The sequence below is a fragment of the Homo sapiens genome, chromosome X, assembly GCF_000001405.40.
Source record: "Homo sapiens chromosome X, GRCh38.p14 Primary Assembly".
NCBI lineage: Eukaryota > Metazoa > Chordata > Mammalia > Primates > Hominidae > Homo > Homo sapiens.
The window spans coordinates 119069314-119092209 of record NC_000023.11 but is presented as its reverse complement, the minus strand read 5'-3'; the positions used below and the strand labels follow the sequence as shown (position 1 = coordinate 119092209).

At 44.4% G+C, this 22896-nt stretch overlaps 2 protein-coding genes across 6 annotated transcripts in view; one reads left to right on the top strand and one right to left on the bottom strand.

The window, feature by feature from the left end:
* KIAA1210 overlaps positions 1 to 13575 on the top strand; it is a 72496-nt gene extending 58921 nt beyond the window's left edge. For all 4 annotated transcript variants that reach the window (XM_017029689.3, XM_017029688.3, NM_020721.1 and 1 more), the window contains 4 exons: positions 2464 to 5664; positions 6664 to 6827; positions 9090 to 9195; positions 10706 to 13575. In XM_017029689.3, coding sequence (XP_016885178.1) covers positions 2464 to 5664; positions 6664 to 6827; positions 9090 to 9195; positions 10706 to 10881 — 3647 coding nt within the window. In that variant the 3' untranslated portion in view covers positions 10882 to 13575. The remainder of the gene's footprint in view (positions 1 to 2463; positions 5665 to 6663; positions 6828 to 9089; positions 9196 to 10705) is intronic.
* A 1866-nt stretch (positions 13576 to 15441) lies between these two features.
* CT47C1 (cancer/testis antigen family 47 member C1) lies at positions 15442 to 19217 on the bottom strand. 2 transcript variants are annotated; one of them, XM_047442414.1, is made up of 3 exons: positions 18132 to 19217; positions 17098 to 17250; positions 15442 to 16047 (listed from the first exon to the last, which is right to left on the bottom strand). In XM_047442414.1, the coding sequence occupies exons 1-2, from the start codon at positions 18982 to 18984 to the stop codon at positions 17129 to 17131; spliced, it is 975 nt and encodes a 324-aa protein (XP_047298370.1). In that variant the 5' UTR covers positions 18985 to 19217; the 3' UTR covers positions 15442 to 16047; positions 17098 to 17128. The 2 variants fall into 2 exon arrangements, with proteins under 2 accessions (XP_047298370.1, NP_001383061.1); NM_001396132.1 differs by having other exon boundaries at positions 15445 to 15977.
* Positions 19218 to 22896: the final 3679 nt, after the last annotated feature.

Sequence of the window (22896 nt, the reverse complement as noted above, 5' to 3'; positions counted from 1 at the left end):
TGTACAACTACTACCTTGTGCTTGACCTGAAGCCTGTGGACCAATGCAATTCTTAAGGCATTCCAAGAATTTCTTTGCATGTGTATTACATATGATCGGTTTAAAAAAATGTTTTTATTTCAATAGCTTTAGGGGTACAAGTGGTTTTTGGTTACACAGATGGATTGTATAGTGGTGAAGTCTAGGATTTTAGTGCACCTGTCATTAGAGTAATGTACATTGTACCCATTATGTAGTTTTTCATTCCTCACCCCCTCCTACCCTTCCCACTTTCTGAGTCTTCAGTGTCTAATATACCACTCTGTATGCCTTTGCATACCCATAGCTTAGCTCCCATTTATAAGGGAGAACATGTGGTATTTGGTTTTCGATTCCTGGGTTACTTCACTTAGAATATTGGCCTCCAGTTTCATCCAGGTTGCTACAAAAGACATTATTTCATTCTTTGTTATGCCTGAGTAGTATCACATTTTCTTTAGTTGATTTTCCATATCATGAAAGTGGTTTGGAGCACAGTCAGCTATTCTCAGCGCCGTATGCTGGGTATGAAACCCCTAGATGGAGCTAGGGATGCAGCAGATAGTGAGGGAAGAAAGGCAGCGAGGGACCCTTCCATCTGGGGATCAAAGTGAGTTCCTTAGAAAAGTACTAGAAGAAAGGAGAGGAGTAATCTGTACAACTACTAGCATGTGCTTGACATTTTCTTTATCTACTCATAGGTTGATGGGCACTTAGGTTGATTCCATATCCTTGCAATTGTGAATTGTGCTTCAATAAACATATGTGTGCAGGTGTCTTTTTGATATAATGACTTCTTTTCCTTTGGGTAGATACTCAGTAGTGGGATTGCTGGATTGAATCATAGATCTATTTTTAGTTCTTTGGGAAATTTCCATACTGTTTTCCACAGAGGTTGCACTAATTTACATTCCCAGCAGCGGTGTATAAGTATGCTCTTTTTATCACATTCATCCCAACATCTATTGTTTTTTGACTTTGTAATAATGGCCATTCTGGCTGAGGTAAGATGATATCGCGTTGTGTTTCAATTTGCATTTCCCTCGTGATTAGTGACATTGAGCATTTTTCATATGTTTGTTGTCCATTTGTATATCTTCTTTTGAGAATTGTTTATTCATATCCTTTGCCCACTTTTTAATGGATTATTATAGTTTATTGTCACCTGGCTTCAGCTCTGGGTGCTTTCAGTTTTGAAGACTCTGTATGAGTTCCTTGGTTGCAGAGTATCTTTGTGTGATGGCTTTCTCAGATGCTGACTGTAGTAGTGATGTGCTGGGTGTGTGCGCAGGTTCACTGTCTCCTATGGGGAGTTTTCCATCTGGTTCACAGTGTAGGCTGCTGCCCATCACTTCTTTCAAAGGGTCTGTGGTTTCTTTCACTCTTTCTGTTAAGTTCCTGTGTTGCTTCTTGGAAAAAGCTCACAGCATGAATATCTACATGCTATTTGTCTTTCCAAGTGGGAGAGACATGCTAACAATGCCTCCAATCTGCATCTTGGAAATAAAAACAACTAGGATTGTTTTAATGTAAGAGGGTAGAAAAAAAGAAGAAAAGGGGGCCATAATCTTGCCTCCCAGATAACTCCTATTGACCCCTTCTTAAAAAAAAAAAAGCAACATGGCCAAGCACGGTGGCTCATGCCTGTAATCCCAGCACTTTGGGAGGCCGAGGCAGGTGGATCACAAGGTCAGGAGTTCCAGACCAGCCTGACCAACATGGGGAAACCCCGTCTCTACTAAAAATACAAAAGTTATCTGGACGTGGTGGCATGTGTCTGTAATCCCAGCTACTCAGGAGGCTGAGGCAGGAGAATTGCTTGAACCCAGGAGTCAGAGGTTGCAGTGAGCCGAGATCGCGCCACTGCAGCCTGGTATGATGTATGAATTCAAAGTGTGAAATTTGTCTTTGGGTAGAGTGTAAAATAGAACCATAATTAATTTTCAATTTAATTTTCAATTTCACTCCAGCCTGGGCGACAGAACGAGATTCTGTCTCAAAAAAAAAAAAAAAGCAATACATGCACATGATATGAAATTTCAGGTAGTTCAGATAAATATTATGTAGAAAATAGAAATGCTAATTAGAAAGTAAAAAATTCAATTCCTCCTTCCCCAGTCAGTTTCCCCACAGGTAGTCATTGTTACAGGTTCAAAATTTGCCTTCTGATGTGTCTCACACTGAATGGTGGACCAGACTATTGGTAAAAAGGTGATAAGCCAACCCTGGAGTCAGTTTCTAGAACTAGGATTTCTCTTTGGCTTAAAAATATCCAACTGCAGAAACCTAATAGTGACCATGTTGCCCTCTGTCTTCCAAATAGCTGCTTCCTCATACTAGGAAATTTAGTAGCAAATAGGTACCACTGGGCCAGGGCACAGTATTCTTATTTTAGGAAGTGAAAGTCACACATATTTCTCCTTTCCTTATTTCTGTTTGGTGCAGATTCCTCAAGCCAGAAACAGAACAACAAAACTGAGATGTATGATAAGAAGACAACAGACCAGGCTCCAAACACTGATGCTTCTCGGAGTCAGGGCTATCCAATGTCAGCAGCATATGGAAGAAGATGGAGAAGAAAAGGAGCAAGTGTTTCAGGATTGAGTGGGTGTGAATTCAAAGGAAGAAGCCTTAAACAATCCAGTGAAGGGTATGGCCTGGGCGATAGAGCTGGGTCTTCACCTACCAATAAGACTGCCAGGAATGTCCCTTTCTCGCACTTGTCCTTAGAGAAGGACAACATGGAGCAGCCTACAACTTCACAACCAGAAACCACTACCCCTCAGGGGTTGCTTTCAGATAAAGATGACATGGGAAGGAGAAATGCTGGCATAGATTTCGGATCCAGAAAAGCATCAGCAGCACAGCCCATACCTGAAAACATGGACAATTCCATGGTTAGTGATCCACAACCATACCATGAAGATGCAGCTTCTGGAGCTGAGAAGACAGAAGCCAGAGCTTCTCTCTCACTGATGGTGGAAAGCCTTTCTACAACCCAAGAGGAGGCCATTCTCTCAGTAGCAGCAGAGGCTCAGGTGTTTATGAATCCTTCTCATATCCAGTTAGAAGATCAAGAAGCTTTCAGCTTTGATTTACAAAAGGCCCAATCCAAAATGGAGTCAGCCCAGGATGTTCAAACTATCTGCAAAGAAAAGCCTTCTGGAAATGTTCACCAGACCTTTACAGCAAGTGTTTTGGGTATGACAAGTACTACAGCCAAAGGAGATGTTTATGCCAAGACTCTGCCTCCCAGAAGCCTTTTTCAGTCCTCAAGGAAGCCTGATGCTGAAGAAGTCTCCTCAGATTCAGAGAATATTCCTGAGGAGGGGGATGGTTCTGAAGAACTGGCTCATGGTCACTCTTCCCAGTCCTTGGGGAAGTTTGAAGATGAACAAGAAGTCTTCTCAGAATCAAAAAGTTTTGTTGAGGACTTGAGCAGCTCTGAGGAGGAGCTGGACCTCAGATGCCTCTCCCAGGCTTTAGAGGAGCCTGAAGATGCAGAAGTCTTCACAGAATCAAGCAGTTATGTTGAAAAGTACAACACTTCTGATGATTGCAGCAGCTCAGAGGAAGACCTGCCTCTCAGACACCCTGCTCAGGCCTTGGGAAAGCCCAAAAACCAACAAGAAGTCTCCTCTGCTTCAAATAATACTCCTGAAGAGCAGAATGATTTTATGCAGCAGCTGCCTTCCAGATGCCCTTCTCAGCCCATTATGAATCCTACTGTTCAGCAACAAGTCCCCACCAGTTCAGTGGGCACTTCTATAAAACAGAGCGATTCCGTGGAGCCAATCCCTCCAAGACACCCTTTCCAGCCATGGGTGAACCCTAAAGTGGAGCAAGAAGTTTCCTCATCTCCAAAGAGCATGGCTGTTGAAGAGAGCATTTCTATGAAGCCTCTGCCTCCTAAACTTCTTTGCCAGCCCTTGATGAATCCTAAAGTTCAACAAAACATGTTCTCAGGTTCAGAGGACATTGCTGTTGAGAGAGTCATTTCTGTGGAGCCACTACTCCCCAGATATTCTCCTCAGTCCTTGACAGATCCTCAAATCCGGCAAATCTCAGAAAGCACAGCTGTTGAGGAAGGCACTTATGTGGAACCGCTGCCTCCCAGATGCCTTTCCCAGCCCTCGGAGAGGCCTAAGTTCCTGGACTCAATGAGTACTTCTGCAGAATGGAGCAGTCCTGTGGCACCAACACCTTCCAAATACACTTCCCCGCCATGGGTGACCCCTAAATTTGAGGAACTGTATCAACTCTCTGCACATCCAGAAAGCACTACTGTTGAAGAGGACATTTCTAAGGAGCAGCTGCTTCCCAGACATCTTTCCCAGTTGACTGTGGGAAATAAAGTCCAGCAACTGTCCTCAAATTTCGAGCGGGCTGCTATTGAGGCAGACATTTCTGGGAGTCCATTGCCTCCCCAATATGCTACCCAGTTCTTAAAGAGGTCTAAAGTTCAGGAAATGACCTCACGACTAGAGAAAATGGCTGTTGAAGGCACTTCTAACAAATCACCGATTCCCAGGCGTCCGACCCAGTCATTCGTGAAATTTATGGCACAGCAAATCTTTTCAGAGAGCTCTGCTCTTAAGAGGGGCAGTGATGTGGCACCTCTGCCTCCCAATCTTCCTTCCAAATCTTTATCAAAGCCTGAAGTCAAGCACCAAGTTTTCTCAGATTCAGGGAGTGCTAATCCTAAGGGAGGCATTTCTTCAAAGATGCTACCTATGAAGCACCCTTTACAGTCCTTGGGGAGGCCTGAAGACCCACAGAAAGTTTTCTCTTATTCAGAGAGAGCTCCTGGGAAGTGCAGCAGTTTTAAAGAGCAGCTGTCTCCCAGGCAGCTTTCCCAGGCCTTGAGGAAACCTGAGTATGAGCAAAAAGTCTCCCCTGTTTCTGCCAGTTCTCCTAAAGAGTGGAGGAATTCTAAAAAGCAGCTGCCTCCCAAACATTCTTCCCAAGCCTCAGATAGGTCTAAATTCCAGCCACAGATGTCATCAAAGGGCCCAGTGAATGTACCTGTAAAGCAGAGCAGCGGTGAGAAGCACCTGCCTTCAAGTAGTCCTTTCCAGCAACAGGTTCATTCAAGTTCTGTGAATGCTGCTGCTAGGCGATCTGTTTTTGAGAGCAATTCTGACAATTGGTTCCTAGGAAGAGATGAAGCTTTTGCAATCAAAACCAAGAAATTCAGCCAAGGTTCCAAAAACCCCATAAAGAGCATTCCAGCCCCTGCTACCAAACCTGGGAAGTTCACCATTGCTCCTGTCAGGCAAACATCCACTTCTGGGGGCATTTACTCTAAGAAAGAAGATCTTGAGAGTGGTGATGGTAATAATAACCAGCATGCAAACCTATCCAATCAGGATGATGTTGAAAAGCTTTTTGGAGTTCGACTGAAAAGAGCCCCTCCCTCGCAGAAGTATAAGAGTGAGAAACAAGATAACTTCACCCAGCTTGCTTCAGTGCCCTCGGGCCCAATTTCATCCTCTGTAGGCAGGGGACATAAAATCAGAAGCACTTCCCAGGGGCTCCTGGATGCTGCAGGGAACCTCACCAAAATATCTTACGTTGCAGATAAGCAACAGAGCAGGCCCAAATCTGAAAGCATGGCCAAGAAGCAACCTGCTTGCAAGACCCCAGGTAAGGCTTTTATCTCTCCAGATGGCAAGCAGATATCAAGTGGAAACAACTGGAAAGCAAAGCCTTGAATGGGCATTAAAGTCTATTCTAGTCTTTTACTGAATTGTGGCTTTGATAGGGCTGGTTTATGAGTTTGGGAGCAAAATAGTGCCCCATTCTAGATTTAATAGATTTGGAGGTAGTTAATTTTGAGCCTTCCCTTTCCTAATGGGATCCCCCTCTGGACATCCATCTACATTCCATAGTAGACACATGACCATTTCCCCATTCCCTCTTCCTCACCCTCTGCACACCTTACATTTGGATGGAATTTTATGCTTTTCTCAAAATACTTTTACATGTATTAAGCCCCTCCCTAACACCATGTGGATTTTTAAAGCCAACTCATTCGTAGAGCACTATGTTCAGTCTCTCAGCCTGAAATCTTAATTTGCCATAAATGTCTCTTCGCTCATCTGAAATATCTAAGAATTTAGAGCTAGGCGATCTTTTGGGCACGAATGTCTCCCAAAACCTTTGGACCTTCACACTCCATCCTTGGAAAAATCTTTTATATTCCTGTAACCACACTTATGTAACCACACACTTGTGTGAGGGACTATGAAGTAACAAATACTTTTCTAGGATTTTTCAAAGATTTTTCAAAGATTTTTCTAGGAGTTAGAGGAATGGCATCAATGGCCTGAGCCTCTGGCATCCTTGGGATTTTCCCAGCCCACCTGGCAAGCGTTGTCCTACTCTGATTTGCAGATGGCACCAGGGATGGACAAGGGAAGGGCCCACTTTTAAGTACAGCTTCTTTACTACCCAAGGAACTCCTGCCTTGCCAAGCTATAGGGAGGGCCCAAAAAAGGGGGGCCTTCTCTGTTTGATATCTGTTTATTTTCCTTTGGCAATTAACAAGGGTCCCATTTGGGATATTATTGTGGGTAAGCCCCAACCAGGCTCAAGACCCTGCCTGCCTTGCTTCAGTTCTAACTCCTTTCATTTCTTTCTCAGGAAAGCCTGCTGGTCAACAGTCAGATTATGCTGTCTCAGAGCCGGTTTGGATAACTATGGCAAAGCAGAAGCAGAAGAGTTTCAAGGCCCACATTTCTGTGAAAGAGCTGAAAACTAAGAGCAATGCTGGAGCCGATGCTGAGACTAAGGAGCCTAAATATGAGGTAGGACCTGGGGTAGCCAATAAAACACTCCAAAAAGGTTGCTGGAATCACTGATTAGGTTTCTATTGGGAACTTTGCCAACATGCAGCTCCCCCTCTCTTTGGGAACATTAATCAAGGCAGGAGGACTCTTCAGGGAAAAAGACTTGCTTTGTATTTATACAAACGTGCCCTGCTTTTATGCTCTTAAAGGGTTTGTGCAGGCCAGGTGCGGTGGCTCTTGTTTATAATCCCAGCACTCTAGGAGGCCAAGGCAGGTGGATTGCTTGAGCTCAGGAGTTCAAGACCAACTTAGGCAACATGCTGAAACTCCATCTTTACTAAAAATACAAAAACACAGCTGGGTGTGGTGTCATGTGCTGACATCCCAGCTACTCAGGAAGCTGAGGTGGGAGGATCACTTGGAGCCCAGGCATGGAGGCTGTAGTGAGTCAAGATCACGCCACTACACTCTAGCCTGGGTGACAGAGTGAGACCCTGTCTCAAAAGTGTGTGTGCGGGGGTGTTGTGCAAAGTCATGAACATAGAGAGAATCTGCAAAACAAATCCTGCCCTCAATATTCTAAAGCAAGGCTCCACGAAATTGGTTGAGAAATAAGGAGTAAGTCATTTTATTTTATTTTTAATTTTTTATTTCCATAGGTTTGGGGGGAACAGGTGGTATTTGTTTACATGAGTAAGTTATCTGGTGGTGATTTGTGAGATTTTGGTGCACTGTAACCCAGTTCATAGTATTTTATCCCTCATCCCCTTCCCACCCTTTCCCTCAGAGTCCCCAAAGTCCATTGTATCATTCTTATGCCTTTGCATCCTCATAGCTTAAAAAAATACCTAAAGGTAATCACTGGGGTAAGAGTTGAGTGACTATCTTTACAGATATTTTATACCTATCAATATGTATATATATTTTTATAAATGGAATCAAACTTAAATACTGTTTTTTTCATTTAACATTTTATTTCTGGGCACTTTTCTGTATCAGTACACAACAAGTTCCCTTTCTGTGTTTGATGTTTGGATTTCTACATATTGATTTGGTTTGGTGTGGCACCTACCTGTAAGTTATAAAATGTGATGTGGTAAACTAGGCTAACTACCACATGTGGATAAGAGATGATGGGATGATGCCTTTCTCCCCTCTTATCAAACCTGCAGAAAACTGACTCAAGGAAACATACCAAATTCATATATCAAGAGATATGTCTAAGCTCCTATACTTTTAAGTGCTTACTAAATTTGTTGAAGGACTGTGCGAGGAGGTGTTTAACTCTTTGCTTTAAAGGTCTTTTCTTTTTCATCATTAGTATTTACATGGGGACAGGAACATAGAGGGGTAAAGCCCACCTTTATTAAAGCTTTTTTTTTTTTTTTTTTTTTTTTTTTTTGAGACAGGTTCTCACTCTGTCTTCCTGGCTGGAGTGCAGTGGTGCAATCACAGCTCACTGTAGTGTCAACCTCCCAGGCTCAAACGATCCTTCCCCTTCATCCCCGCCATAGTAGCTGCGACTATAGGCACTATAGGTGTGCGCCACCATGCCCAGGTAATTTTTAAAATTTTTTGTAGAGATGGGTCTCACTGTGTTGCCCAGGCTGGTCTTGAACTCCTGGGCTCAAGTGATCCTCCTGCCTGAGCCTCACAAAGTGTTGGGATTATAGGCCACTGCTCTCAGCCTGGTTAAAGCTTTTGTCAGGAGGGATACATTAGTGTATATAAACTCATTAATTTAGACCAATTATGAAGAGGTTAATTTGAAAAGAATAAACTGCAGAATTTTGGAAAGACCTACAGTTATATTACTTTCTAATGTGAGAAATGCTTCAAGTCATATGTCAGCTAGTTTTGAAAAGTAGAAATCTTATGGAACTCACTTCAGTGAATTGATCAGATTTGTTTGCAACTACCATGTTCTGTTAGCTTGCTGTTAAGTGCTGGTAAAGTGCTAAGGAAAAGGTTGTTCTCAAGTTAAATAATTATCTTGTTAACCTGCTTTCACTATTTGTAAAATTAGACAGCTCTTTCTTTCTGGTCTGAAAGGTGGTAAACTTGAGCCAGCTTAGGTTTTGTGAACCTAAATTTTAAGCCAAAAGGCTCAATGCTATTTCTCTCCTTATCTATCTCTATATTTCTAATCTCTTTCCTTTTGGATACTGTTAAACTCATAGTACCCAGGACAGGGCTTGCACTCTATGGTCCTCTGAATAAGCAATCTGCCATTTTAATGTCAGAACTTACAAGCTTTCTGTTTTCATTTTTGTATTAAAGGGAGCTGGCTCTGCAAATGAAAACCAACCTAAAAAGATGTTCACTTCCAGTGTCCATAAACAGGAGAAGACAGCACAGATGAAGCCACCTAAGCCTACAAAATCAGGTAAAAGCATACATTCTGACCTCTCAAAAAACAGCCCCGACAGAATGTTGTAAAACTTTTGCAATTTCAAGCTCAGATAATACTTGTCTCTTACCTTAAGTCAGCTTAATGATTTCTCGCGTGGCTCTTTAATTAGATACAAATATTAGCTTATTTTAGGAAAATCTAATTATTTTGACTAATACAAGTCCAGTGTATAACTTTCAGAGGGTCTTCCAGTCTTTTGCCTCATCAAAGAAGCTGTCTAGGCACAAAACTGTGGTCACTCACTGAAACATTCTTCTGGCTGGGTATGCAAGAGGAAAGTACCAAGTCACTTTCCAGTTCATAGCAAAGCGGTATTTTCTCACTTTCTACATCTCCAATGAAACTGTTGAAAATAATTCACTCTAAAGGCCCAATGGTATTCAATTGTTTTTAATTATTTAGAAGGCTTGTTTAAGCTTCTCTGTATTCTGAGCAGGGATGTGTAAGTGGTGAGGAAATGTTGACAGCTGAGAGGAATACTCTGCTGGGATATAATAGAATGTGATCTCACCAGAAAGAATTGTGTGCTAGAGAGAATTTTTTCAGCAGGAGCAGGGGAGTGGATGATGGATTTTTATTGAACCATCTTTGTCCTCTCCCTTAATCCCGCTCATGAAGAAATTAGACCAGGAATTCAGGAACCCATTTTCTGGCCATGAAATAGCAGCAGTTGACTTGCTCACAGCTTTTAATGGCCTCATGGGCACTATACTCCTATCAAGTGAATCACAACTGTCACTGTGCATCAGAATCACCTGGTGAGCTTTTTAAAAAATTACAGATGGTCCTGGCTCCATCCTTAGAGATTCTAATTCATTTGCTTCAGGAAACGGCATGGGCTTTGGTGTTTTTAAAAGAGCCCTAGGTGATTCTAATGTGTAGCCAGGATTGAGAACCACTGGTTGATTCTAAGTCACTAAGTCAATTGACCATAAGCAGGATGAGGGAGGGAGTGGAATTAGGAATAGGGAGGTAGTCTCCTTGGCTGGGGTAGTTGGGTTGGTACAATATTATTTATCATCAACTTTTACTGGGTGCATCTATTAAGTCATCAATCAATTCATTTCACATGAAATCGTGGATTGGCAAACACAAATAACATTACCTTATCTGAAATTTTAGAAACTAAGTAGATACAATATGTTTCCCTCTGGTCTCAGTTCAAAGATGTAAGACAATCCAGTAATAACCACCTGAAGATTGGCAGTTACAGCCATAGGTATTACCTCCCAGGCCTTCCCATGCCCAGGGCCCTGTGGCCATAGCCAAGTTGATTTTACCCCTTTGACATACTACCCATGGCATCACACAGGTCCTAACTTTTAGAAGTCTGGCACCAAAGGGAGAAGAGTTTAGAAAGCACTAGAGCAGGGGGATCAGAGGAAACCTGAAAGGAGGAAACATTATATGGCATTCCATAAACAACATACCCCAATATCGCTGGGGTTCCTTATTGCTTGTGTGTTATTTGCTGTGGTTCCAGTTGGATTTGAAGCTCAGAAGATACTGCAAGTTCCTGCCATGGAAAAAGAAACCAAACGATCTTCAACTCTCCCAGCCAAGTTCCAGAACCCAGTTGAGCCAATTGAGCCTGTCTGGTTCTCACTGGCCAGGAAGAAAGCCAAAGCATGGAGCCACATGGCAGAAATCACGCAATAAAGAGCTCTTGTGTGGAGCATCAGCATTTATTTTATTTAGTTTTTTTTTTTTTTTTTTTTTTTGAGACAGAGTCTCGCTCTGTTACCCAGATTGGAGTGCAGTGGCGCGATCTCCGCTCACTGCAAGCTCCGCCTCCCGGGTTCACGCCACTCTCCCGCCTCAGTCTCCCGACTAGCTGGGACTACAGGCGCCCGCCATCACGCCCGGCTAATTTTGTTTTCGTATTTTTAGTAGAGACGGGGTTTCACCATGTTGGCCAGGATGGTCTTGATCTCCTGACCTCGTGATCCGCCCGCCTCAGCCTCCCAAAAGCTGGGATTACAGGCGTGAGCCACCGCGCCCGGCCAAGCATCAGCGTTTTAAATGATAATTGCTAATAGCTGTATTAATTCTATGTAGTGATCTTTTTACTGTGACCACTTGTATTAAGCAAAATAAGTATTAAGCAAACTAAGAATTTATTAAGCAAAATAAGAATTTATTAAGCAAAATAGCCTTAGAAATGCAAATTAAAACATAATTATTTGAATGAAATAAATGCCATGAATGCTTAACCTTCCACGTAGTCACTGCCAGCACCCAGAAACCCAGCATTTCCTCTATTAAAACTATCGAAAACATTTGCACTGCTGTAAAATTGCAAAATCTTTAACTTTGGACAATGTGCTTTAGAAGGGAGAAAGCAAAAACATTTTGTTGGAGCAACTAGAAAATTGTCATTTCCCTCAACCAAATAAAGTAATTCTAATGGAAACATTCAGATGATTTGACCTAAAGATTGGCCTTTAGGTTTTATGAGCCTAGATAGATGCCGCAATTATTTGGTTGTTGCTCTAAGCTTTGCAAGGGATCCTAAAAGAGGCGGTGGAAGTGAAAATTCTGGGTCTCCAAGAAAATTTCTGCACAGCCAGTTCTCCAATCAGCCTATCACCCCTTGAAACATCTTCCCTGTGTCCCTGGGGGCCCCTGATGCTTTCTCCTTGGGTGATAGTAACATGCAGAGCACTTACACAAAGCTCCCTCTTTGGACATACCCCACGTCGACCTGTCACAGGCCTGGCTGTAGCGAGCACCTCCCTATGACGCAGAATGCTTCTTGGGAATTATCTTACTCCTCTGGAGGGTTAGTCCATCAATGTTTTGCTTCTTGTCCCAATACTACTGTGACCCTCTCTGATCGCACAGAAATCACTGCCTATCACATATATCCTGTTAAGCACTGAAGACCCTATTGAAATTAGAGTTCTACAGATGCCAAAAGCTGTACTTTCCATCAGGCAGATGGCAAGCTTACTGCCTTGATGCACATCTGGAGCCACTGGAGCTCCTTCCTCTCTGGTTCCAGCATTAAGGTGGAGAACTCCATGTAGCTTCTTGTCCTTTCCCCTCAGCTGTCTTTGCTTCACAAGGTTTTAGCCCAAAGCAAGAGTGCAATCCCAAAGCCACAGAGAAATGAACTTTCCGCTACCTGGAAGCTTTAAGTGAGTAAATCAGCTTTTCCCCTCTCATTCCTAGAGGCACACACCTCAAAAGTTACTAGGCTGGAGAGACCCTACCTTCCAGTGACCCACTCATCCCCCAGCCACGGAGAAGAGGGAAGACCAAAAAGGGAGAGTGAGAAAGAGGATGAGAGGGATGGTCAGCTGTGAGGGGAGGGGGCAAGTGGCCCAGCAAATGTTGATGCCTCCCTTCCCATCTTGCCACACGGTCTTTTTCTTTTGTAGCACAGCCTCCATTAATAACTCCTCGGCTGAGGATGAAGATGTAGGCACCTTTACCCCCAGAGCCAGTTCCTTAATTGGCTGGCTTTCTGAGATGCAGACCACCCTAGAATCTCATCTAGGTTCACTAGAAGTTAGTTAAATCTTCCTTTCTCTGTCTTTCTCTTCATTCCATCCCCCAAACCCACCAAACACTAAGGGAGAGCTCCCTTTGGATGTCTGGGCAGTAAACCTAGCTCATTTTTCTAGGAGACCCAGAAGTGACTTCTGAGTAGTTATCACTGTGTCTGCCTCTGTTACACTGTGCTGCTTTGCTTAAACAGAAATGCAGGCCTGGACATCTGACTGTGCCTTTATATTCTGAGTGGGGTGCTGCCCCATGCAAAAAAATCCAGAGAGGTAGTGAGGTGTCAGAGCTAAACACTTGGTGCTGGGTTTTGTTGATGCTGGTATAATGTGACACAGTACAATTACATGCTAAATTTTGCATTTTCTCTATATAACATCTATTTTTCCTGATACTGTGCCTTTGCCATTTTGATAATGCTATTTTGATTGAGTGAATTTTATTTCCTTTGTATTCCCATAGTGAACAATATATTAAGGTAGATGCCCTTTATCTGGGTACTCCTGGTAGATTAGCTGTTACACCTCCCTTCCCTTTTTTACAGTGAACCTGTATTCAGTTATTGTCACTCTGAGAACTCTCCAATAACAATTTCTTTTCCACAGTTAACAACACAGCTGTTACACCTCCCTTCCTTTTTTTCACAGTGAACCTGTATTCAGCTATTCTCACTCTGAGAACTCTCCAATAACAATTTCTTTTCCACAGTTAACAACAAAGTTCTGTTTTTAAATGAAGAGATTAAGTTCTTTTTAAATGCCTAAAGGCATATTCTGACAACTTTTCTACTTCTTTAACTTTTTTGATTTAAGATATATGCAAAGCAAATAAATTCAATAAAGCCTATTCTGTAGTCCATCTCTGTCTGTGACATGGGGCGGGAAATCAAATAGGATATTGACAACTCAGAGCTGAAGGTTGTCAGAGAAGTAAAACGTTCTTTTTTTTTGAGACGGAGTCTCACTCTGTCGCCCAGGCTGGAGTGCAGTGGCGCGATCTCGGCTTACTGCAAGCTCCAACTCGCAGGTTCACGCCTTTCTCCTGCCTCAGCCTCCCGAGTAGCTGGGACTACAGGCGCCCGCCACCAAGCCCGGTTAATTTTTTTTGTAGTTTTAGTAGAGATGGGGTTTCACCGTGTTAGCCAGGATGGTCTCAATCTCCTGACCTTGTGATCTGCTCGTCTAACGGCCTCCCAAAGTGCTGGGATTACAGGCGTGAGCCACTGCGCCCGGCCAAAGTAAAATGTTCTTAAAAGGTGGTGCTGAGAATAAGGGGCGTCCACGCAGGTGTGCCTGACCAAGCTGATGGCTTTCAGGTGAGCATTGATATTTGGTATGGGGGAGAAGGGCCACTGAAGAGGTTTTACGTTTGGACACCTGGAGAATAAAGAGGGGGTGTGGTTGGGGGACGAGCAGAAGAGACAAGGTGATTGGTGGTTGCACTGTAGCCTGGGTCAGGGACAAAGTCCAAGTCCGATAGCAAGATGGGCTACTGCAACAAGCGCTTTTCAGAAGCAAGGGGCCCTACTGTGCTCAGGTAACAAAGTGGCATGGAGGGAGGAAGGGAAAGGGGTTATAGGCCAGATAATGAGCCTGGCTCACCTGTAACATTTTCAGGGTTTAGAACAAGAGTTCAACTTGGGATCCACATACCATATGTCTAAATATTTGAAATGTTTAAATAAACGAATACAGCATGTTTTATTTAATGGTTTATCTCCTTCCATGACAAATGTACCTTCATAATGACCTCAAAGGCCAGGTTGGGTTCTAGAATTCTCAGACTCCTGTAAGTCCTGCCCCAGTGGTGTGGGAAGAACTGCTCCCCTTCCTCCTCCTGCTTTAGAAATATTTCAGACCTACACAAAATTGTAGAAAATGTTACTATAAACATCAATATATCTACTATTCAGCTTAAGAAATGTAACATTACAAATATAGTTGATGCCTGCTGTGGAGCCTTCTCTGCTAGAATGCCCCTCCCTTTCTTTCCCTGAGAGGTAACCACCATCTCAAATGTGCTTCTTTCGAATGCACACCTTTCTGTATGCTACACTTGTATGCATCTCTTACAAGCACATCTTTTAGTCTCTCTATATGTACCCATAATCAATTTATGGTGATCATTTGTATGTTTTCTTAGAAGTCATATGCATGGTATCATGTTTGTATCCTTTTGGACCCGACTTTTTCCTTTATGCATTTTTCCTCTCTAGGCCTCAGCCCCTGTGAATTCTAGTCTCCTCCCCAGCCCATCCCTTGCTGTCCCTTTCAGTTTACCTGAAACAGCCCCGAGCCAGTGAATTAACCCTGGCTCGACAGGAGGTGCTCGGCTTCTTCCTCTGTTGCTTGAAACCACTGGTTCTCAAACCTTAGTGTTCATCAGAAGCCCCTGGGGGGCCTGTTAAAACACAGATTGCTGACCCCACCCCAGATTTTCGGATTCCGTAGGTCTTGGGTGGAGTCTGAGAATTCCCAGGTAATGCTGATGATGCTGTTTGGGGACCAAACTTTGAGAACCACTGCTCCAAATCAAAGTCTGGGCCCAAGCTCAGCAATACCATGTGGCTTCCAGGCAACCTGGGCCATCCATGAAGTTTTCTTCAAAACCATGCTCTAGAGCAGTATTGTCCAATAGACATGTAATGTGATCTACATGGGTAATTCTAAATGTTCTAGTAGCCACATTTGAAAATAAAAAGAAACCAACAAAAACTTTAACATTTCATTTTAATTCAAGTATTATCATCTCAACATGTAATCAGTATGAAAATCATTAGTAAGATATGCAATATTATTTTCACACTTACAGCACATATCAAACAGACTAGCCATATTACAAGTGCTCAGCAGCCACAACGTTACTAGTGACTAAGGTAGTAGACAGTACAGCTCTAAAGACTTGAGCCCCATCTCTCTCTTTGCAAAAATGGTTTTAAACTTGACATTTTAATTGACTTTTGGCTGCAGTAAAAGAATTTAAAACAGTCTTACTAAATGGTGGAAAGTAATACCTTTCAATGAAGGTATGGTGGGCCAAAACAAAGAGGTAAAAGAGAGATTTGAGTCAGAATTATTTATTGAAAAATCTCCCCATGTTTCAATTTATTCATTTAAAACAAACTTTTATTTCTAACTTGAACAAACACTGTCAAATACATTTGTGAAAGATAAAAGTTAGATGTCACTAGATATCACTTTTAAGGTAATGAACTTTGGAATGATATGTGTTAAAATTCTCACAGGCATCTGAATAAAATAAAATAAAAACAATGAACAACAGAGTCTTCTTTCTTCATCTTCTTTCTATTCTTCCCAACTACAGAATGAAATGAGAAAAAAATAAACAATGGTACGTTAGCCAGCACCAGTGACTTTCTAAATAGAAGAAAATGGCCAGCTCTGTGTATATCTGCAACATTTGTGTGCTATATCTTAAACAAGTAGAGAAGAACACCTTTTCCTTTTGTAACTCGCAAGCTTGGATATCAGGGTGCTTGTGAAACTGATGGTTACAGCCAAATGATCACACCAACCTTGTCTCCCTAGCACCAGAAAAGCTTCTTGTTGTTGTTTTTACATGAGAGGCAATTCTGGGATTTAAATAAATCTCTCAAGCTTTAACAGCCTGTGCTAGTTCCACAAATGATACTCCCTTACTCTCCCAGACCCTTGGTTTCCATATCTACCATATGGGAAAGAAGCTGTTATGAAATAATACAGCTGTGAAAATGCAAAAAAAAAAAAAAAGAAAAAAGAAAAAATGTTAACCATTTAAATATACTCAAAGACAGATATGCCTTAAGACTTAATTACACACATTCTTTTCATTTGTCACATAAAATACAAAGATATATAGCTAAACAAATATTTAGGTATTAGTCATTAAATGTGGTCCTACTTGAAATTCTTAGCTTTTTGCTATTTGTTAGTAGTCACTTTGTAAAAGGCATTGAGTTGTCTCCTAGTTACTATGGGAGCCTGCATTTCTGTGGCTAAGTAATGAAGTCCCAACCAATGTGTGGCCCAAGCAAGTTAGATGCTGCGTCTGGCAACTGTTTTCTACACAAATATTGATCTTAGGTAGTAGGTCTGATACATTTGCCACTTGTTAGTAGTCCTGCAGCTAGAGGACAAAAGACCTCAACATGAACAAATGAGTAGCCATGAAGTGTATTTCAGAACACACTGCAGTTCATATTACTACGTACATGAATATTCTAGTAACATTTTAAGTAAGCTAAATTGAATTTTTAAACTAAAACCTTTTCTTAATTAATTTACTGGGAATTTTATTTTAAAATAAAACTGTCAGCAACAGGTAAATGCCAGGAATAGTTGAGTGATTCTCAAAGCTATACACCGATACCTGGATTTTCTCAGCTTCCCCTCTGCTGCGTCTAGGTCCCTTTGGAGTTCTTCACCTTGTTTTCAGCATCCTTCTCTTTCTCTTCTTTCTCTTCCTTGCCTGCAGCATCTTGGGCCTCTTCATCCCACTTTTCATGCTGATATTTAGTGACTTCTTTAGCGAAGAATAATACAGATGTTGGGACCAGACATTCACAGAAAATATAGCCCAATTTATAACCAGCAGCGGCACCCAGTACTCCACCCTCAGGAGAAGCAGGAGGATAGACTTAACTAAGAAAGGAATAGCTGGGCACCTTCCTACTGGTTTTCACAACAGTGCCATGGCCCTCACGTTGCTGCTGCTTGATCATTTCCACAGTGACACTATTTCCCTTTTTTCCAGTAAATCTCCCACCCAAAGCTGCCGATTATTTCTAGTTCTTTGGAGAAGAGATCAGAATCATGGTGTCTGATCTCATTCTAAGTGTTTTGATCAGAACTTTGCTGGGAAAATATTTGTTGCCTCAAAAGACAAATTCTATGGTGAAGCTCATTGGTTCCTCACCCCCCTGAATGTTTCATTTTTACCAAGGGCCCCTGTATCACTTCATCATTTGGGGATCAACTTTCTAAGAATCTTTACACTTTGAAAAGCCATGAACAAAAAAGGATGCCTGCCATTTGCCTGTTCTTTTCTTTCCGTTGTCCCTTGTTTCCTGCCGAGCTCCCTCCTGAACCCCTATCTACCTGGCCATTCATCTGTGGGCCCCCCAAATGGCATTGATGATCTCAGATCTTCTATCAAACACAGGTTGGTAGAGGGCGGCATGTTTTCTCAAAAATCATAGATGTCGTTAGAGAATTGGGCTTCGACTCATTGGTACACATTTGGCCTTAAGTTTCAGGAGGGCCCTGACCCCCACTTCACCACCCGAGGCCCGACCCCCACTTCACCACCTGCTTCACCAGCTGTGCGCACACCGCGGCCCTGCCTGGAACCCTTGGGTGCACGGGTCCCTGTCTCCCCGCCACTGCAGATAGCCTGTTCCTCACCCTCAGGGGCAGCAGCCTCCTCTGTGGCCGGTTCCTCTGCGGACTCCTCCTCTGCAGCCGGTTCCTCTTTGGCCGGTTCCTCTGCGGCCTCCTCTGCGAGCTCCTCCTCTGCGGCCTCCTCTGTGGGCTTCTCTGAGGCCTCCTCTGCGGGCTCTTCTGCGGCCTCCTCTGTGGGCTTCTCTGAGGCCTCCTCTGCGGGCTCTTCTGCAGGCTCCCTGGCCATCTCGGCCAGGTCTGCTGGCACCTCAGGCTCTGGGACCAACGCGGCCTCCTGGAGCAGGCCCAGGCCCTCGCCCTCAGGACCCGCGGCCCCCACGCCCAGCCTCTCATGCACCAGCAACAGCCGGGGCTCTTCTGAGCCACTGGGCGCCGCAGTGCGGCGCCTCCGCATCAGGCGGCCGCCACGCATCCTGATCAGGATGTGGTCGTTGTGATAGATGCGGAGGAGAAGGGAGTGGACCATGTCCAGAAACTCCATGCGAAAGCCTCTTATGGGGTAGCGACGGGCGGCCGCGACCAAGTCGAAGTTGTCCGCCTCGTTCCTCTCTTCCTCCTCCTCCTCCTCTTCCTCCTCCTCATCCTCCTCCTCCTCCACCATCTCCACTACTATCCTGATCTCTGAGTCTTCCTCGGCGTTCCCACCCCCGGGGGCTGCGGCCAAGCCTGCCGCCTGCTCACCCTCCTCCTCCCCGAGGCCTCTCATGGGCCCTGCGACTCCGGCCACAGTGTTGCCACTGTCGGGGCCAGAGTCACCGCCCTCCCGGTCACCTACGGCCTCGGCCTGCGCTCCCTCCTGGTTCACTGGAGCCTCCTGGTCCTCTTGGATCAGGTCTTGATCCCCTGTGGCAGACATGACGCCAGTCAGTGCCTCAACTGGAGTGGCGACTAGGCTGAGGTGACAACGGTGAAGACGGTGGCCACTGATGTGGCTGTGGCTGAGGGGAGGTGAGGGGCTGGGCTGCTGAGAGAATAAGAGTCTGTCTCCTTACTGAGGGAATAAAAGTCTGTCTCTGAGGACACCCTAAGGTGGGAAGGGCAGGGAGCCGATCCCAGGAGCCTCCCGCTGAGGTTGGCCTGAGAGGACTTAGACAAGGCGGGAAAGATTCGGGTTGGTAAGTGACAGGGGGCGGGACAGGAAGGGTCAAGGAGGGGCTCTCAGTGAGCTCTAAGCTCATTTGCTGAAAACATCAGATTGACATGCTCTGCATCCAATGAATATCAAGGCCCTTAAGCTCTAGGACAACTCAGAATCCAGAACTCTATCTTTTCTTTGAGGCCTTAGTGTCCAGGGCTAGCCTTTAGGTCCACACAAGTCCTGTCCTTTTAATTTTACGATTATTAGCAGCACTATAGTGATCCAATGTGGAGGCACCCTGGATTGGGGAAACTTCTTCTGTAAAGGGCAGAGACGAAACATTTTAGGTTCTGCAAGGTCCAGAAGCAATATCAAGACTATTATGTAATTACTATCACTAAGTAGGTTTCCTGCCTTCCATAGGACACATACTCCTCTTTGTACCACCATTTTGTTTTTTTTGAGACAGAGTCTCACTTTGTCGCCCAGGCTGGAGTGCAGTGGCATGATCTCGGCTCATTGCAAGCTCCACCTCCCGGGTTCACACCATTCTCCTGCCTCAGCCTCTTGAGTAGCTGGGACTACAGGCGCCCGCCACCATGCCCGGCTAATTTTTTTGTATTTTTAGTAGAGATGGGGTTTCACTGTGTTAGCCAGGTTGGTCTCAATCTCCTGACCTCGTGATCCGCCCGCCTCGGCCTCCCAAAGTGCTGGGATTACAGGCGTGAGCCACTGCGCCCAGCCTGTACCACCATTATTTTCTGTATTTGCCTGGTCAGTGCCCTCTGATCTTCTTCACCTCCTACCTAAAATGATCAACCTTATTCATTAAACCATTTATTTATTCATTTACCAAATTTATTGAGTGCGTTACATGTACCAATGCCATGCCTCCTTACAACTGTCATTTGTACCTCTTGCTTGTTTGACTGATGAAATCCAAAGATGACAGACTGCTCATGGTTTACATCCTAGTGCCTCTTCCCCCATCGTTCCTGTGCCCCTCTTTGGGGTGGAGGTTAGCTAAGACCTCTGGAAGCTGAGCTTTCCCAGCTGCATAGAGTGTCAACGTTCCTATATTTGCAGAGACTCCAGTTTATACTAAATCATTTCCTCTTTAGTTGCCTTGTCCACTTATCAGTGAGTGTGAAACACAATGTGATGACTGCTGTCAATCTTGTAGTCTCTAGGGCAAAAAGTACACAGCAGTAGCTGCTTCTTTCTGCAGGGAGATAGAACTGGGCACTGGGCTTGTTATGGAGCAAGTTGTTGTCAAGGAGTGAGGCAGATCCTGGAGGAGATGGTTCTGTTGCAGTGGCAGTAAGCTATCTTACCAGTTGTTTTCAAGTCCCTGGGAGGGGAAACTAGTTAGCACCAGCAAACAGAAGAGAAAGGAAAAAGCTGAGCAGATGTGCTTTCAATAAGTGAAGTGAAACTACCTGAAGTGAAACTGAGGGAGAGTGTCCTCCTAGCTCCCGCATTGGGGCTCTCTTCATGGCAAGTATGTGAGCCAGAAGTCCGTGGAACAATCTCCATAGCCTTGGTTATCTGCCTGAGCCTGTTGTCTGCAGATGTAGACCCATCCAGGATGTCACATTCCCTTATCTCTGGTGTGTAGTTGCTACCTTTCCTTTATCTCCAGCTATCCCACCCATGACATCTGATCTTTGCCAAGCCAGGTAGTTGGCACAACCCAGGATTTCAGATTTTCTTAGGGAAAGGTGCTCTCTTTCCCCACCCCACCTCCCTCTGTCAGTCAACAGAAGTGGCCAAGTCCTTTCCATTTGCAGACCCACCATCAAGGTCAAGGTGGGCCAGTGGGAGAGACCTAAAGCCACAACAACCCTCAGAGGTTTCCACTTAATGTTGGGATGACAGGGAACACCCCTGGAAGACCAGCCCAAAGATCTCCTTTACAGCCTGGCTCAAAACTCACCGCCTCCAGGCAGCCTACTTTTCTATATCTGTACCCCACCACCCTCACCAGACACTATCCTTAATGACAGTGGTATGTGTGGACATGGTTTAGCTCCTCCAAGAAAGCACAGGCCCTTTAGGGTGAATGTCCAGGCCTGTCTCAAGTTTGTTAACACCCACGGTGCCTGCCACAGGGCTCTGCACCAGGTCGGTGTTTGATAAATGTTTGCTAAATGAATCAAACGGCTTTGGAATCACTATCACCATGAATGGTGTTTTTCTCTTCTATCTGCCTAGGGCTTGACTGTCTGCAAAGGGCCTTGCTATCCCCTCTTCCTTTCTCTCTTGGGATCGTCTCCCTGGCCTCTTGTGAGATTTCTGCTCTTGCAACCTAGTGTGATTCTGCTGTGAGGCTGGGGACAATGAGGGATCTCACCCCTCATGGGAGACCCTTCCCCCACCCTTGACATACAGGGAGTGACTTGGTCCCTTGCTTGCCTCCTAGTCTACTGTGTCACAGCCAGAGTAGGCTGCGGGTGCCTACTTTGTGCCTACTCTGGCACAGGAGTGCCATCTCCTTCCAGGCCAGGTAGAGCCCACGGTCCTCAAGCCCAGCACTTCCTGCTTCTCATGGAAGCCACGGGAGGGGCGAGGGACAGTCTGGAATGCTGGTCTCTCTTGGGATTTGACTTTGACTTCCACATCCCAAGGGGGTCATTGCACAGACTCTGTAACTTTGAGCTCAGCCCCTGGGAGTGGAGTTGCATGTCAGGGCTCCATCCTTCTGATTCTGGGCAAGTCTGCACCACCACAGGCTCCTTTTCACTTACAGGCTTATCTAGCTTGTGGGGTTTATGCCTTTCTTGCATCATCAGTCTTCTTTCCTACACTGAAGTTTGTTCATCATTCTTCGTGACTTTAACATCCACAGGGATGACTTATCCCATGACCTGGAATTCCACTTCCGTGACCTCCTCATCTGATCTTTTCTACAAACTTACATCAGATACTTACCCCCATGGTCCTACACTAGCCTTTTCCATTACCAGAAATGGCACCATTTAGAAAATTTCTTCTCTACTGCTACAATGTTTCAATCCCATCAGATTATTTCCCCAATCTGCTGACCTAGCCACTTTTTCACTCTACCTTCCTACCATCTTCTTCATTTGCCTACTTACCCAGTTTAAATTCCATCCATTATGTGTTGCTATTATCACAGGCAGAATGCTGGCCTCCCCAAAGATGCCCATGTCCTAATCCCCAGAACCCTGTGGGTCTGTTAGGTTACCTGGCAGAGGGGAATTAAGGTTGCAGATGGAGTTAGTGTTGCTAATCAGTTGACTTTAGGATAGGGAGATTATTCTGGATTAGTCAGATAGGCCCAATGCAGTCACAAGCATCCTTAAAAGTGGGAGAGGGAATTAGAAGAGAGAACCAAAGAGATGGCAGCATGAGAAAGACTTGGCCTGATGTTGCTGGCTTTAAAGATGGAGGAAGGAAACTATAAGCCAGTGAAAGTGGGCAGGCTGTAGAAGCTGGAAAAGTCAAAGAAACAGATTCTCCTCTAGAGTCTCCAGAAGGAATACAGCTCTGCCCACACCTTGATTTCAGCTCAATGACACTTCTGACCTCTGCAACTCTAATATTTTAAGTCTGTATTTTAAGCCACAAAGTTTGTGGTGATTTGTTACAGCAGCAATAGGAAACTGATACCTACTCACTCACTCCATTCCCTTTCTCCTCTTAGCTGTCTATCATATCTACTAGGCA